The following is a 16,190-nucleotide window of genomic DNA, read 5'->3' as shown; positions in this document are numbered from 1 at the left end:
GGGGAAGTGATAAGTGTCCATGAAATCTTCACAATTTATGTTCAGAGATTGCAGTAAAGACAGGCGTAAGAAATTATAAAAGTATTAATTTGGGGAACTAATAAATGTCCATGAAATCTTCATAATTTATGTTCTTCTGCCATGGCTTCAGCCAGTCCCTCCATTTGGGGTCCCTGACTTCCCGCAACATTTGTGGACACAAGTTCACAAGTTTTCATGTCTTTTGAGTGTGTTCTTAGAAGTATATTATTGGGTAAGTGTATATTTAATCTTATAAAAAATTTACTTAAAAATTGTCAAACATTTTTCTAAAGGGCTTTATAATTCAGTATGCCCATCAGCAACTTATGAGATGCTCTAATGTACTCCAAGTCTTTGCCAACTCTTGCTTTTTTCAGTATTTTTAAAATTAGCATTCCAGTGCAGGTAAAGTGGTATCTTGTAGATTCCTGTTGTTTCCTTGGTGACTAATGATGTTGAAAATTTTTTCATGTACTTATTGGCCATTCATGTGTCCTCTTTTATGAAGTATCTTGTCAAATCTTTTACTATTTTAACAATTGGGTTGTGTGACTTTTCAAAAATTAAATTATGGTGGTTCTTTATATATTCTGGATACGTGTCTTTGGTCAGATACATGTATGGTGAATTTTTTCCAGTTGGTGGTTGCCTTTTCATTTTCTTAACTTTGTCTTTCAAAAAGCAGTTTTGATATTGATGAAGTCCAACTAGCTAGTTTTTCTTTTATTGGTAGTATTTTGTCTACCTCATCATTGCAAAGCCATTGTTCTACGTTTTCCTAAAATACTTTATAGTTTTAGCTTTTATAATTAGTTGTATGACCTCTCTCAAAGTATTTTTTTTTTAATAAATGGGGTCTTCTTGTGTTGCCCAGGATGGATATGAACTCCTGGGCTCAAGTGATCCTCTTACCTCGGCCTCTTGAGTAGTTGTGATTACAGGTGCACGCAACCACTCTCAGCTCTAAGTAATTTTTGTTATTAGTGTGAGGTAGGAGTCAGGATTCATTTTTCTTTCCCTATGAATATTTATTTGTTTCTGCTCAATTTGTTGAAAAAATTATCCTTACACCCACTGAATTATTTTGACATCTTGGTCAGAAAATCTGTTGGTCGTATATGTGTGTGTCTATTTGTGATCTCTGTTTTGATCCATTGTTCTATTCATCTGTCCTTATGCCAGCACTGTATTTTGTTGAGAATTTCTCCATGTATGTTTTATGAGGGATATAAGTCTGTAGTCTTCTTTTATTATGTTTGTCTGGTTTTTGTATTGAGTTTCTACTGGTATATCCTTTTATTACATGTTTATCTGTGACTTTGTATTTAAAATGCATCTATTTAGGTACCATATAGTTCAGTATCATTTTTTAATGTATTCTGGTGATTTCTGCCTTTTAATTAAATGTTTAGTCTATTTACATTTACTGTATATTGACATGTTAGTTTTAGATCTACCATTTTAAAACTTGTTTCCTATATGTCTTATCCTTTAGACTTTTAAAAAATTCTGTGTCTCTGTTTATTGAATATTTTTAGTATAACATTTACATTTCTCTCAGGTTTTCTTTGCACTACTGTTTTGTAGTTACTCTGCAGATCACAATATTCACCCTTAGTAAAAAATTTTCCTTGAATTAATATGGTATTGCTTCATGTAAAATATAAGAAACCTACAATAATATGGTTTCATTTGCCTCTCCCCATCTGTTGTGCTATTGTCTTTGTACATTTTATATCTATATATGTCACAAACTATATAATACAATATTATACTTTTAATATAGTATGTATTAGTCATATATGTTTTAAATAAATTAAGAAAAAAAGTCTTTTATGTTAACATACAATGTATTATTTCCAAGGTTCCTCATTCCTTTCTATGGGTTTACATCTATATCTGGTATCATTTTGCTTTAGCTTGAAGAGCTTCCTTCAGCATTTCTTATAGTGTGGGTTTACTGGCAACAAATCTCTCATTTTCATTTGTGTGAAAATGTCTTTATTTTTTAAAAGATTTTTTTGTTGTATATAGAATTCTAGGTGGGCATTCAGTCTTTTTTTTCTCCTTCTCTTTAGATGTTGATTATTGTTTTCTGGACACCTGTTTCGAATGAGATGTCTGCCATCATTCCTCTTCTTCTTCTCATATGTTGTCTTTTTTTCTCTGGCTACTTAGAAACTTTTTTGTTGTTGTTGTTATTTTTGGTTTTCATGGTTAGTGTTCTAGCAGACAAAAACCACAAACTTTGGCTCAAATAGAAGAACTGTGTTTAAAATTGAGCCCCGTCACTTAGTAAGTAGGTTAACTTAGGCATGTCACTGTATTTTTCTGAACTTCAGGCTTTTCTTTGGAAAACAGGGATGCCTTATCTACATTAGGGTTGTTGCAAAAGTCAAAGCATCTAAGTGCTAGTCTAGCTATTATTTGTTCTCTCCAGCTGAGAGAGCTGATTGACTGACTTTTCCTATATACATTTATGGAAAAGTAAATATTCTAAACTTATGAGATAAACATGGCTTGTTTTCTATTTTGAAATTTTTGCTCATAGAACACTAAGGAAACCATTCTTATTAAGTGCAGTTTGAATAGTAAAGCAGGAAGCTCAAATTATCTGCATTAAAATAGGCACAGGCAAAGATTTCATGAAGAAGATGCCAAAAGTAGTCTCATCAAAAGCAAAAATTGACAAATGGGATCTAATTAAACTAAAGAGCTTCTGCACAGTTAAAGAAACTATCAGCAGAGTAAACAGATAACCTAAATAATAGGAGAAAATTTTTGCAAGCTATACATTTGACAAAGGTCTAATATCCAGAATCTATAAGGAACTTATACAAATTAAACAAACCCAGCCATCTCATTACTGGGTATATACCCAAAGGAATATAAATTGTTCTATTACAAAGACACATGCACAGGTATGTTCATTGCAGCAGTATTCACAATAGCAAAGACATGGAATCCACCTAAATGCCCATCAGTGATAGACTGGATAAAGAAAATGTGGTACATACATACCATGGAACACTATGCAGCCATCCAAAAGAACAGGATCATGTCCTTTCCAGGGACATGGATGGAGCTGGAGGCCGTTATTCTTAGCAAACTAATGTGGGAACAGAAAACCAAACACTGCATGTTCTCACTTACAAGTGGGAGCTGAATGATGAGAACACGTGGACACATAGAGGTGAACAACACACACTGGGACCTGTCAGAGGGGGGCGGTGGGGGAGGGAGAGCATCAGGAAGAATACCTAATGGATGCTGGGCTTAATACTTGGGTGACGAAATAATCTATGCAACAAACCCCCATGACACAAGTTTACCTATGTAACAAACCTGCACATGTACCCCTGAACTCAAAAGTAAAAAAAAAAAAAATCTACAGCAGAAAAAGTCAGTATTATTGAATGAACGCCCTTTTGTTTTGTTTTGTTTTGTTTTTTATCTTTAACCAAACCCATGCGTTCTGCACATGTGTTCCAGAACTTAAAGTATAATTAAAAAAATAAAAAAATAAAAGCAAGTTAATGAATGTCTTTTAAAATGTATTTTTGAAATGAGAAACATTGCCTTTGGAGGGTGATAGGAAAGATCAAATGACAAAGTTAGAGATTAGTGACATTTTTATTCCTCTGTTACCAAGTTGTGGGTAGTATTTTTGTCACTATACTTTTTATGGTAGAAGTATCCATGCAATGGATAAAAATACAGACTTTGACAGACTGGGAAGATAATGTGCAATACTGAAATACTTTGCATGCTTTGTGACAATAATGAGACTACTGCTAAGGAATTTTCTACTACTTTAAATTAGGATGCTCCAATAGAAAAGGTTATCTGTGTGCGTTTTATTTATTTGGTAAGGAAGCAGTGTTTTCTGGTTATACGTGGTAAAGAAAGTAGATAAATAGCCTTGTCCTTTAAGATGTCCCTTGACGGTCAGTTAGAGGAGCAGGTTCATTCATGATCTCCTCTGCAGACACCTTATTGGACTGGACTGGTTATGTTCTTACATACCTTTGAGTTTTGGTTTCCTTTTTTTTGTAAAAGAAATATTTACCTTTTTCTCAAATATCTTGCCACCCAGTTAGGAATTAAAGTTATTTGTGTTAGAGTTTGGCAGAGTGGACAGTTGAATGACACCTTTTTTTTCTCGTCCAATTTTGGGACCAATGGATATACCAATAGGAATTTGAAATATAGAGATTTGGAAATAAAGTTGGTTGGCCAAATGGGTTTTCTGGTATTTCATACTTGAGTGAGACTGATTTTCAATGTAGAAGGCAACAGCCTGGAATACACTCCATCTATGAGCAGGGTAGCCTTTCTCCCAAACTCGCTATTCACATAATTAACTTCTCCTCCACCAGGGAGAAGGTGGGAGAGAAGGCTGAACTATTAGGCTAATGGAAAGTTCTACAAATGAAAGCATGAAACTGAGGGAGTGGAGGTTTCCCACTAACACTTTGTCGACTGGATGCATTGCATGCATTTCATGCAATGTCGTTTGCCGAACAACTGTGCCTGCTTTTTTAGTAACTCTATTCTAGCTCCCTCCTCTCTAAAACTAGGATAGTAATGTTAACATGCCTCAGAGTGCTCTTGGCATGATTCAATGAATTAGTACATGTAAAACATTTAGAAATGAGCCTAGGTTGGGCATGGTGGCTCATGCCTGTAATCCCAACACTTTGGGAGGCCAGGCAGGAGGATTGCTTGAAGCCAGGAGTTTGAGACCAGCATAAGCAACAGAGACCCTGCCTCTACAAGAACAAACAAGCAAAAATTAGCTGGCCATGGTAGTATGCACCTGTAGTCCCAGCTACTCAGGAGGCTGAGATGGGAGGATTGCTTGAACCCAGGAGGCAGGAAGTCGTGGCTGCAGCAAGCAATGATTGCGCCACTGCACCCCAGCCTGAGCAACAGAGTGAGAGCCTGTTTCTGGAAATATTTTATGTATATCTAAAGGAACGAGCCTAGCATGTGGTAAACAGTTCGTGCTATTTTTTACCTTTAGTGACATTAGTATTACTTAGCAATATTATGTCAAAGCATTCAGATGCATTTAAATCATGGAGGGGTTAAATAATGTTCACTGATAGGAATAGCTAGAGAGGTTTAAATTCATGTGAGGAGAGAAAACTGCTGGCTCTGCGGGGAAAAATAAGCCCTTATTTACTTTTAATTTGTTTTTAACATATATTTATTCTTGGTACTGAGAAAAGGATTAGGAAGGAGAATGTTGAGTGAAAGGCCACTTTAAAAGAAAATATATATATATATATATTTTTTAATTTGGGTTGCTGGGAGAGTTCTGTAACAGGAGTTCTGGAGGGATGTGACCTGGGGTGTTTTAACCCCTTTTATTGATACCTCTCATTGCTACCTTGGGGGCAATATCATTGCACAGAAAAACCAGTTACTATTTATTTTAAATATGGAAGTTTCTAGAAGAAAAGAGAGCTGTGGTCTGCATTCCTAATAGCCTACCAAAATACATACCAGAAATCTTTGTTGCTGCATTGCTTGCTTGTTTAGATGTGGTTACTTGTGCTGAAAATATTAGTAAGCATCATTTGCTTGTATCCAGATAGGTTCCTTATATACAGCACTTACCTCAATGCTTTGGAATTGTAGATGCCCCCAAAATACCTGTTGAATGAATCGACGAATTTAGGAATAGAGATATATAAAGCAGTGGAGTAGACATCCTTGCACAAGTTTCTGTGCCAGCCTTTGAAAAATTTTCTTCCCTATTCATTTTTTTAAAGGCAAATTATTCAGAAGAAAAGACAGCCTATTTTGGGAGCATTTCAGTTTACTCAGAAAATATTGTGCATTGCTTTTGAAACTGGATTGAACATTTCATATTAATGTTTATATGGTGTTATTTTTCCCTCTTGCCACAAAACTTAGTTTTTAGAAGTACTGTAGGAGCTTTATAGTGTCATGAAATGTTAGTTCCTATTTTCTCCCCCAACAGAATTTTTGATGCCATTGATTTCATCTCTCATGTTGAAGCTAAAGTTTGGTAGGTCTGATTATAAAGAAGCCTGGGAACAGAAGGCCCGCATTGTGCTGCTGAGTGACCCTGGACAGGTCACTTAAAGTCGTTGGATCTATGTGTCATCATCTGTCAACTGAGAGGCTGGGACTAGAAGACTAATGAGCATTTCTCAGCTTTCAGATTATTTGATGGTAGGATTTCCCTACCAGTTTCTGCTTGGAAAGATGGCCTGCTGAGATAAGAGGTCTCTGGCTCATTGAGTGAGTTTTAGCTGTATACTCTGTGGTTGAGAATGATTGTTACTTGATTTGTCAAAGCTACAGGTGCTTGCTGAGAAAATTTAAGAATATTTACATTTGGTTTTTAAGGCGCCCATATTAGAAAAACTTAGATAAAAATTGGATGTTTTAATTTTTATTCAGTTCTCAAAACCACTAATCCAACAAGTCTCCAACATGTCTCTTGGAACATGTTTTATTCAGTGTTTAAGTCCAATCTATCACATTTTAAATATTCCTTTGTTTAAATTATTGTATGCCATATAGGGTCTTAATATAGCTCATATAATGGTCACAGTTCTCTTACTGTTCTAAACGTGTCATGTTTCGCATGTTGAGTAGCTTTTGCAGGCCAGCCAGGGAACCTGATCGCCATTTATACGATTGCTATTTCCTTGGCTAATATGTTTCATTATATCCTCCAAATGACAAGAATAGGATGGAGTGTTAAGGGAGGAAACTGAGTCTGAGTTGGAGAGAACTGAATTGGAGGGTGTGTGCTAATGTAGAGGCAGAATTGCTCACCCTGGCTCTTGGGGCTTCCTCTTTCTCCCCTCTCCTCTCTCAGAAGGACATGTGGTGACATCAGGGACATGAACTTCACCTCCCTTTTGTAGTAGTTATCTATAGCTACATAACAATCTAGCACAAACTTAGCAGCTTAATCAATCACAAAATTATCTCACAGTTTCTGTGGGTCGGGAGTCTGGGAATGACTTAGCAAGGTACTTAGCAAGGCCACAGTCAAGCATCAGCTATGGCTGCTGTCTTACCTGAGGCTGGATGGGAGGAGGATTTGTTCCCAAGCCCGTGTGATTGGCAGGATTCAGTTTCTCATGGGCTCTCTAACTAGAGCCTTGGTTTCTTGCTGTCAGCTGGAGGTTGTCCTCATGGGGCTCTCTCAGTAGGCAGCCCACAAAATGGCAGCCTGCACTTTCAAAACCAAGAGAGAAACTTGTAGCAGAGTAGATGTTACAATCTTATGTAATGTACCCACATACATCCTGTCATTTTTGCCTTATTCTATTGGCTACAAGCAAGTCACAGAACCTGTCCTGAAAGGGCGAGGGAATTAGGCAAGGCCTAGATAGGAAGAGACAGAGATCAAGGGGGCCACTTTAGAGTCTGACACATCTGAGACTGGCCAAGAATATGGCTTCTCTTTATCCTTACTCTCCTCTCTGTCCATTCTCCTACTTAATAGCAGCGTGTTTCTCATCCCTTCTGCTTTTTTCCTTCCTTCTGACCTACAGAGAATTCAACAGCCCTGAGTGGCTTTTCCTCCTCTTCTCTACTGTAGAAATGCAATGAAAAGGTAGCAGGAAACCCTGCCTTTGGAAGCAACTCTCATGCTGCTGGGGCCCTTCCTTGTCAGTGGGCATTTGGGGTATGTGACACATTCTTCTCTAGACATTTGTTCCTACATCATAGTGTGGCTTCTATAAAGGACCAAAGTGAGGTCTTCTCAGCTTTTGTGTCTTCTGATTACTATTCTCTTTAAGCAAGCACTGAATTACAAAACCAGGTCACTTTCACTATACCATCCTTTTAGGATGTCTTGCTAAGGCTGTGTTGGTAAATTTCAGGTTAGAATCATTAGCAGTTTTGGTGCTTTTACTCTTTTGCCCCAGTAACTCTTGTGTTATCTTCCTCTTTTCTTCAGACATCAGTAGGGTGCTGTTTCTTGCTTTTTTATGGCCTGCTCCTGGCCTGTGTCTTAGTTAGTCTTTAGTTATTGTTCCTTCTCTTTGCCAGGGACACAGTGTAGTATAGTGGTTAAGAACAAAGACTAAAGCTAGACTGCGTGGGCTTGAATTTCAGCTTCTGCCATTTATTAGCTAAGTAATCTTGAGCAAGTTACTCAGTTTTGTTTCTGTGTGGCTGGTGTTAACATTTCTGAATTTTCCACTGGCCAAGAAGCCTCTGAATACTGCTGCCACTCTCATTTTGCTTCCAAGTTACATGCACAGATGTAAGAGCAGACAATTTGCCCTTTATTGCTACATGAGATATCACCCCAAGCCCTTTTGTGGTCTCCTAGTGAAGTGGGCTGGAACATTGTTGAGCATACTGGGATACCTCTTTTTTTGTGGCTTCACCCTAGTACTTGTATTGCCCCCAAAGTATGAGGATAGTGTACATTTTCCAATGGCACAACATTTAATAAGCGTTTACTGTTTGCCATGAACTTTATTAAATTGTGTATAGACATTATGTCTTTTAACCCATATAACAACATCTGGTTATTGTACTGATATCGCTCCCATTCTATAGATGAGGAAACTGAGGCTTACAGAAATTACACAACATGCTCAAGGTCTTCAGAGCTTAGTTGCAGAACATAGTTCTGTGTGACAGCAACGCACATACCTTTCATGGCCACGGGATACTGTCTCCCATAGAGGAAGCCCAAATTCTTCTTAGTAAACTAGATCATTTGGAGAAAGAGGCTAAGAATCAAACAACTGTGTCTCATGGCCACAGGAACTTTTCCCACAACTTCTCCAGCCTTATTTTCATATTAGCTCTTGAATGCTCTTGATTTTGATGCCAGCCAGTCTTCTTCCACCCAGGGGTAGCAGGCTCAGCTTTGCCCTAGAGTGTAAAGTGAACATTCAGAAAAGGAGCCAGGTTTTCCCATGACTGTTATGGAATCTTAACATTGTATTTGAAGCACGATTAGGAAGTGCTGGGCTTGTAACAATCACAGCCAGGGTTCATACGTCCAGATTGTTCTTTTTAAGTGCATCAGCTGAACTAATTGCTTATATTCCAGTGATACCGCCAGTGTTCTGCATTCTTTTAAATGAACTTCATCGCAATCACCTTATAACCCCTTCCCCACTCCCACTGCTGAGCACAGTGTCTTCCACCAAATGGGTGGTTCAAAAAAGTTGGTTGTTAGCACTTTGGGAGGCTGAGGTGGGCAGATCATGAGGTCAGGAGATCAAGACCATCCTGGCTAACATGGTGAAACCCCGTCTCTACTAAAAATACAAAAAAAAATTAGCCGGGCATGGTGGCGGGCACCTGTAGTCCCAGCTACTCGGGAGGTTGAGGCAGGAGAATGGTGTGAACCCGGGAGGCGGAGCTTGCAGTGAGCCGAGATAGTGCCACTGCACTCCAGCCTGGGCGACAGAGCGAGACTATGTCTCAAAAAAAAAAGTTGGTTGTTGAAGTTGCTTATAATTCTTTTGAATAACCACAGTGGTGCTAAATTACCATCTTTGAGGATGAATTTGATTCTTTGAACTAATCTATTAAAATATTTTCTATTATAGCAAATAAAGGGAACTAAACTGTAATGACACACGTGTTCTTGTGAACATTGCACACTGGTTCTGAAGGTAAAAGACGAGTACTTATTCTGAGCAGTCAGCATCACTGGAGTGAGTCCCAAAGAGGGTGACTTGGAAGGGGTCAAGGAGTACTTTTTTAGACATTAAGTTCTGGCACTTCTGTTTTAAAGTTAGTATGCGTTCACCTGGTGAATCTTGTATTTTTTTGTTTGTTTGTTTGTTTGTTTTTAACATAACTGACAAATCCATACTGTTGCTTATGAGTCTGTGATGTGGTGCCCAGCATTAGAATGTACACCAGAAGAATTAGCACTAATGGAAGTGATTCATTCCCTCTTTTCAGGAATTCATCATCAAAAAAAGAAGCTCAGTATTGATATGAAGAATGCTAACAAAGACATAGCTAGAGCTTTCTGTGTGCCCATGTTAATAAAGGCTGTCAACTAAGGTGGAGATTTGTATTGAACATTTCATCAGATCAACTTAGAAAAGTTTTATATTGTTGTCAAAAGTTACATTTAGAACTTCTTTCCAGAATGGTCTCATCAGGAAAGAGTCTGTGAATTTAATGGACATAATTGCAATTGTAATCATGAATTTAATAGTCTTGCTACCATAGTTGCACTAGTGAGCACAGTAATTGCAGTAATCTTTTGAGAACTAATTGTATGATGGACACAGTGCATATATCATCTTTAAGTTATATAACTACTCTGCAAGGTATGTATTATTGTATGTATTTTACAGACTTGGAAACTGAGCCTTAGAAGGAATAAATTACTTGGCAAAGATCACACTGCTATTAAACAGCACAGATGGGGTTCAAACCTGTTTATTTTAAACCTGTATCAAACCTTACTGTGTTTCTCATTCATGTAAAGAGCCTCATGTCAGTGGCCAGGCATATAAAGCCATAGCTAGCCAATGAATCTGTTCCTCTTAGTGTTGGGTATAATTTTTAGATCTTTGACTCCTCAGTTCTTCCTTGCTATTTTTATTGAGGCTGACAAGTTCTTTCTTTATTATTAGAGAAGATCTCTATATTTATTTATTTGGTGTTTGTTCCATCTCCTCCTGTCTTTTTTTTTTTTTTTTGAGACGGAGTCTTGCTCTGTCGCCCAGGTTGGAGTGCAGTGGCGTGATCTCGGCTCACTGCAAACTCCGCCTCCCGGGTTCACGTCATTCTCTGCCTCAGCCTCCTGAGTAGCTGGGACCACAGGCACCCGCCACCACGCCTGGCTAATTTTTTTTTTTTTTTGTATTTTTAGTAGAGACAGGGTTTCACTGTGTTAGCCAGGATGGTCTCGATCTCCTGACCCTGTGATCTGCCCGTCTCAGCCACCCAAAATGCTGGGATTAGAGGCGTGAGCCACCACTGCTGGCCAATCATCTCCTCCTTTCTTAATCTCCGTAACACCGCCCTGTCCCTTTATGCTTTGGGTAACTTGAGGTTTCTGTCTATGGTTCAGGTAACTGAGGTGACACTGCCTCTCATGGTACCTCAGTGCATGCATGGAGCCATATCACAATTATTAATCTCATCTCAGAATTAACATTGAGGCCTCAGGTGATGAAAGTTAATTTAGGTTCCTGTTTTATCAATGTTGTCTTCTTGGAGCCACACGTTCTTCACATAACATGAGCAATAGTTGCATTCTAGCTGGTAAAAGTCGGGTATTTTTATTTGGGGCCCTTCTCTGAAGGGAAAGAAAGCAAAAAGTTCTATTTCTAGCCTGTTTATTCTAAAATGCTAAGAAATGGAAAAACAAAAGTAAACACATTGTTCTGAATGACTTCTTCTTGGAAAAAGGAAGGCCCTTTGCTGGCCATATTTTATTATTCTGTGAATTATATGAATCCTCCAGTAGTTGTTGAACTGGACATGTGGACAATGTAGCAATTCTGATCATTAAGCATTAGGTGTCCATAGTTCTGGTATAATGCCTTTGTTGGATCAAAGCGTGTGTGACTGGAGGGAGGCCTTTGTTGCCTGGCTCAGAGCAGGGCCAAGAAATCATTTGGTGTCTCGTTTAGTCCTTCCAGGCAAATTAATCCTTCACTTTTGAGGAGAGGTAAGAAGGGGTTAGGGAGGAGAGATGGAGAGAGAAGGTGGGTTACTCTAATACTGTTGCCGCCTGGGAAACAGACTAGGTATCTCTTCCTGAAAACATAATGGAGGGCAAAATTTTAAGGGTTCACCACCCCAATCCTTCATAGTGGAAATACTGCTCTTAAAATTTTTTTTCTCTTAAGGTAATTTTCTGTGTTGCTATTTTCTCTTTCCTTTTTGTTTTTGGTAAAAAAGAGAAGAGATGACTGGACTTTTCTATGTCTTGTGTGTGAAGAAGAGACTAACTAGTGGAAATCAAGAAATGGCCTTTCTGAGACATGTAACTAATTAGATTCTTTCTGCTTATGACAGGTGATGGAACTGTACTGGAACAATGGGAGAAGCTGGTAGCTTATAGGAAGCCAAGATGACCAGAATGTTTTTAAATAATCCGTAAGTTAATGTTCTTGGCCTTTTGGAATTCTTTTAACTACTGGGTAAATTTTCTTTAAGGAACCATGGTAAAAGGATAGCACAATCAACTAACTTGAGTGCAAAAGAGAAACTATTTTATAAAGTAAATATCCAAACACGTCAAACAATTGATGCTAACTTTGATAAATCTTATTTTGCGTACTTCTTTCTTGATAGGGTGTGTCATTTTAAGTTGAGTGTGTCAATTTGGTGGACAGAGCATAAGTATTTGAAGAATTAAGAGAATTCCCTGCACATGGTCAGCATTTAAATTAAGCTTGGAATAACCCTTAGGATATGCAGATATTTTTGGTCCTAGTGGTTTCCTTGGGCTCCATTTCTCACTCACGTATTTTTTTCTGTGGGCATATTTTGAAGTAAATATGAACAAATTTGGTGAATATGATTAAAATTGAGTTCTTTGTCTACATCTTCTCCATATCCCTCTTCATGTATGCTACTTTTATGTACATCAGAGGCTATTAATGTTTGCTAATTATCTGACAGTTACATATGGTTGATTTTGGTTTCACTGTGATAACAATAATGTTAGTAAGTGGGGTAGCTTAGTGGAAAGATCATATATTTTTGAGTCAGACAATCCTAGGCCTCACTCTTGCTCTTGTGCTTTTTAGTAGTTACTCAACCTCTCAGAACCTTAGTCAACTCATCTGTATATTGGATTTGATACTATCTCTCATAAAATTAAAGTTTGTGGAAAGTACTTTGTGCTATGACTGGCACAGTATAGTTACTGGCACAATAAATCATATTTACTTTTCTTCCTTATATTTGTGTCATGATTTATAATCTATAGGCCTTTATTCTATCTCAAAAGATTGGCCAGCTCAAGTTCCTTACCTATTGCCAAGCTGTGGTGATTAACATTATAGGTAGTATCTGCAGGTAGATGTTAACAAGCTGGCAATGTCAGAAGGAGGGGTTGTCATGTTTGCAGGTTTCCATTGTGTAAGTACCACTGCTGTGGCTGGCTCATTTTAAACTACCAGCAAAAGTCACTGAAAGCGAGGCTGGGAAGTCTTATGTAGTAGCACAGCATTATATAGTTTCTACCAACCAGATACAGTAGTTACAAATCACCTCAAGAGCATGCTTAACAGTAAAATAATAGGAAGTGATGAGATTTGAGTATTTATTACCTTTGTTTTTAGTATGATTTATTTTAATTTTGTTTATATAATTTAACTTTTAATAATGACTGTGTTTAACAACCAGCTTGCTAAAAATTTTGAGAATTTAACAATTGGTTCTAGTGGCCTGGTATAAGTTGGCTCTAATACACCACTAATTGTAGGTTTCCTGTTGTGAAGACATTTCTAAGCCACAATTCTTTAATTATCTGCCTCAGCCGTGGTGGTAAGAGTTTCATTTGATGAATAAAAACAAGGTTTGGTTTTGAGTCAGTGCTTGCTGTAACTCAAGTTGTCATGCTCATATTGTTTCTGGAATTGAAAATAGATGCCAAAACCAATTTAGAATTTAGAACAGTTTCTTGAGTTGTTGACTCAGCTTCATAACTGACCCCTGGCATCGCTTGCCTATTCTGGCTGTTAAACTGATCTCCAAGTGCTAGTATTGGCGATCAGTCATTCTGCTCACTGCCTATTGAACTTCCTTCTCTCCCTTCCCCATATTCCTTCAAATCTTAAATTCCTTCAGGTAGTGGTGCTACAGAGACAAGTAGTCAGGATTCCTCCCAACTAAGCATTCCATGCAGCTTTGCTTTTGATTCAAAATTAAGTTTTAATGGAAACCCAATTGCCTCTAGGGAGAGAGTAAAAACAAAACAAAACCTGGGCAGTTTAAGGTTCATCTTGGCTTGATTAAAATCTTAGGGAGTGAAATGGAGGAAAAAAACGAAACCAGATCAGACATCTCAATGTTTCTTCTAGAAGCAACTTCTTCAGTTTTCTAACTTGCCCTTTAGAAGGAAGCAATCGAACCCTGAAATTGCTAAGTAACAGCTAAGATTGTGTTTGTTGTTTTTACTTTAAATCTCACCCACCTAGTTCTCAAAACACATTTTTTATTGAACCTTACAAAAATGCCTTGGATATTTCAAAACATTTGCTTGTGTCAGTTCTTTGAATCAGACTTACATAATTGTAAAACATTCATTTCCCCGATTTCCTCTTAAAACAAAAGGTATTTATAGTTCCCGCTGAGTCAGGGATGGACTTGGATTACTGCAAAAGTAATCTGTGTTCATTTCAAGAGGAAGCTCGTGGTTAAAATCTGAGAGACTTGCCTTTGGATTATGAAATAATTACCTTTGGCTTAATTTAAATAAGTGTGTCTTTGTACTTTGAAAGCAAACATGGAAATAATAATTTAATACAGAAATTTTATTATAGATATAACATTCTGACTTATATTATCATCTCTCTTAACAGAATGGGCCTTATGTGGTTTCCAAACATCCCTTGTATAGAAGATTTCTTCATTAGAGAGATGCTATGTGTATAGTCTTTAGATGCGCAAATTTTATAGCGTTGCATTATGTTCATATCAACAAACTCATGTTTGTTGATATAAACAAAAATATGTTTACTAGATACTTGGGACTCGTTGCTTTTGACGATACATTTCAGTACAAATAAGACAGACTTATTGCACTTTAGGAATTGATAATCAAACCTGAAAAGAGAAAACTATAATTTCAAACTGAATGTGGTAGGTATTATAAAAGACATATAAAATACTCAGAAAACAGAAGAGAAAGAGAAATTACCTGGGTGGCAAGAGGAGTGGGCTAGATCAGGGATGAGATTCAGGAGCAGATGATATGTGGATTAGATATTTAATGATTAATGCCTTTTTATTAAAGTACCTTTTATGAAACTATAAAAGTTAACATTGCTAATTGGATAGAACTTTAGAATGCAAAAACTATTTTGCATTTGCAAAACTATTTTGCATGGCAGTGAAAATGCTAACAATTAACATTGCTTTTTTTTTTTTTTGTATTCTGCCATACTTTTCTATGCCGAGATTAGATACATGCTTTATTTTCCCTCTAAAATGGGTCTGGTTATTACTATTGTTTTGAAATCGGCTTCAGTTGACAATATAGTAAGATGATGCCACAGCAATAAATATACATCTACATAATTGTAGATGTATACATAATATATAGCATTCCATGTGTACGTAGTCTATAATGTTGCATATTACTGGACATTTTTGTTTTCAACTTTTCATTTTTGTAAAGTGTGCTGTAATGAACATCTTTGGTAACATCATGGTGCACTCATTCAGTTATCTGGATGAGACCTTTGAACAGAGTTGGGAGGAGTGCTTAGGGGACACTCTAGGTAGAAGGAACAGTTTGAGCAGAAAGGAACAGTCTGAACAGAGATGGTAGAGGAAGATCATGTTTTGGGAAAAGGCTAGAACTATAGTTTAGTAGAATGAAAAGAAGATAATACTGCTAATTAGGGCTAGAAAAAGAAAATAGAGGGTCTTTGATACCAAGCCTTTAATTTATTCTTAGTTGGGTGTCATTTTGGAATCTATGTTATACTTTAAATGAATGACCCTGAATAGCTTCAATTGTTCTTAATTTTTCTTATTTGGGGAAGAAATAAAATAGTTCCAAATGCTCAAGAAAGAATAGATCTTTTAAAATTCTTGAGAGATTTAAGAAACTAACCAGGACATAAACAAGTAATTGAAGTCATGAGAAAAGAGTATGTGTGTGTGTGTGTGTGTGTGTGTGTGTGTGTGTGTGTGTGTGTGTATGTGTAGAAAAAACTATAAGAGTAGAGGTTTTTAAAAGTGAAGGAAAGTTCATTAATTTATTTTCTACACTTAATGAATTTTAACAAATTCTTTATAATTAAAAGTTAAGGACAATTTGGAAAAGAAGTGAGTTTGGGGATGCATGTCATAATTTAATAATAGTAATGCCTTATATTTACTGAGTTGCTTAATTATGAGGCTATGTTCTAAGAAATGTGTCCTCAGGCAATATTGTTGTTGTGTCAACATAATAGAGTGTACTTACACAAATCTAGATGGTGTAGCCTACT

At 37.1% G+C, this 16,190-nt stretch overlaps 1 protein-coding gene across 9 annotated transcripts in view, besides 2 other annotated features; it reads left to right on the top strand.

The window, feature by feature from the left end:
* The window catches only part of SGMS1 (sphingomyelin synthase 1), a 319,585-nt gene that overhangs the window by 179,592 nt on the left and 123,803 nt on the right, over positions 1–16,190 (top strand). For all 9 annotated transcript variants that reach the window (XR_007061953.1, XM_047424974.1, NM_147156.4 and 6 more), the window contains one exon: positions 12,037–12,117. The gene's annotated coding sequence lies outside the window, so the exon portion shown is untranslated. The remainder of the gene's footprint in view (positions 1–12,036; positions 12,118–16,190) is intronic.
* Positions 7,309–7,368: an enhancer, noted in NCBI's record as "active region_3361". NCBI's record gives its function as "activates an Ori minimal core promoter by ATAC-STARR-seq in GM12878 lymphoblastoid cells {active_cell/tissue: GM12878}" and the evidence as "EXISTENCE:reporter gene assay evidence [ECO:0000049][PMID:35858748]".
* Positions 13,527–13,746: an enhancer, noted in NCBI's record as "active region_3360". NCBI's record gives its function as "activates an Ori minimal core promoter by ATAC-STARR-seq in GM12878 lymphoblastoid cells {active_cell/tissue: GM12878}" and the evidence as "EXISTENCE:reporter gene assay evidence [ECO:0000049][PMID:35858748]".

Source organism: Homo sapiens, chromosome 10 (genome assembly GCF_000001405.40).
Source record: "Homo sapiens chromosome 10, GRCh38.p14 Primary Assembly".
Taxonomy (NCBI): Eukaryota; Metazoa; Chordata; class Mammalia; order Primates; family Hominidae; genus Homo; species Homo sapiens.
Note: the sequence above shows the minus strand (reverse complement) of the source record. Positions and strands in the feature narration are given on the sequence as shown.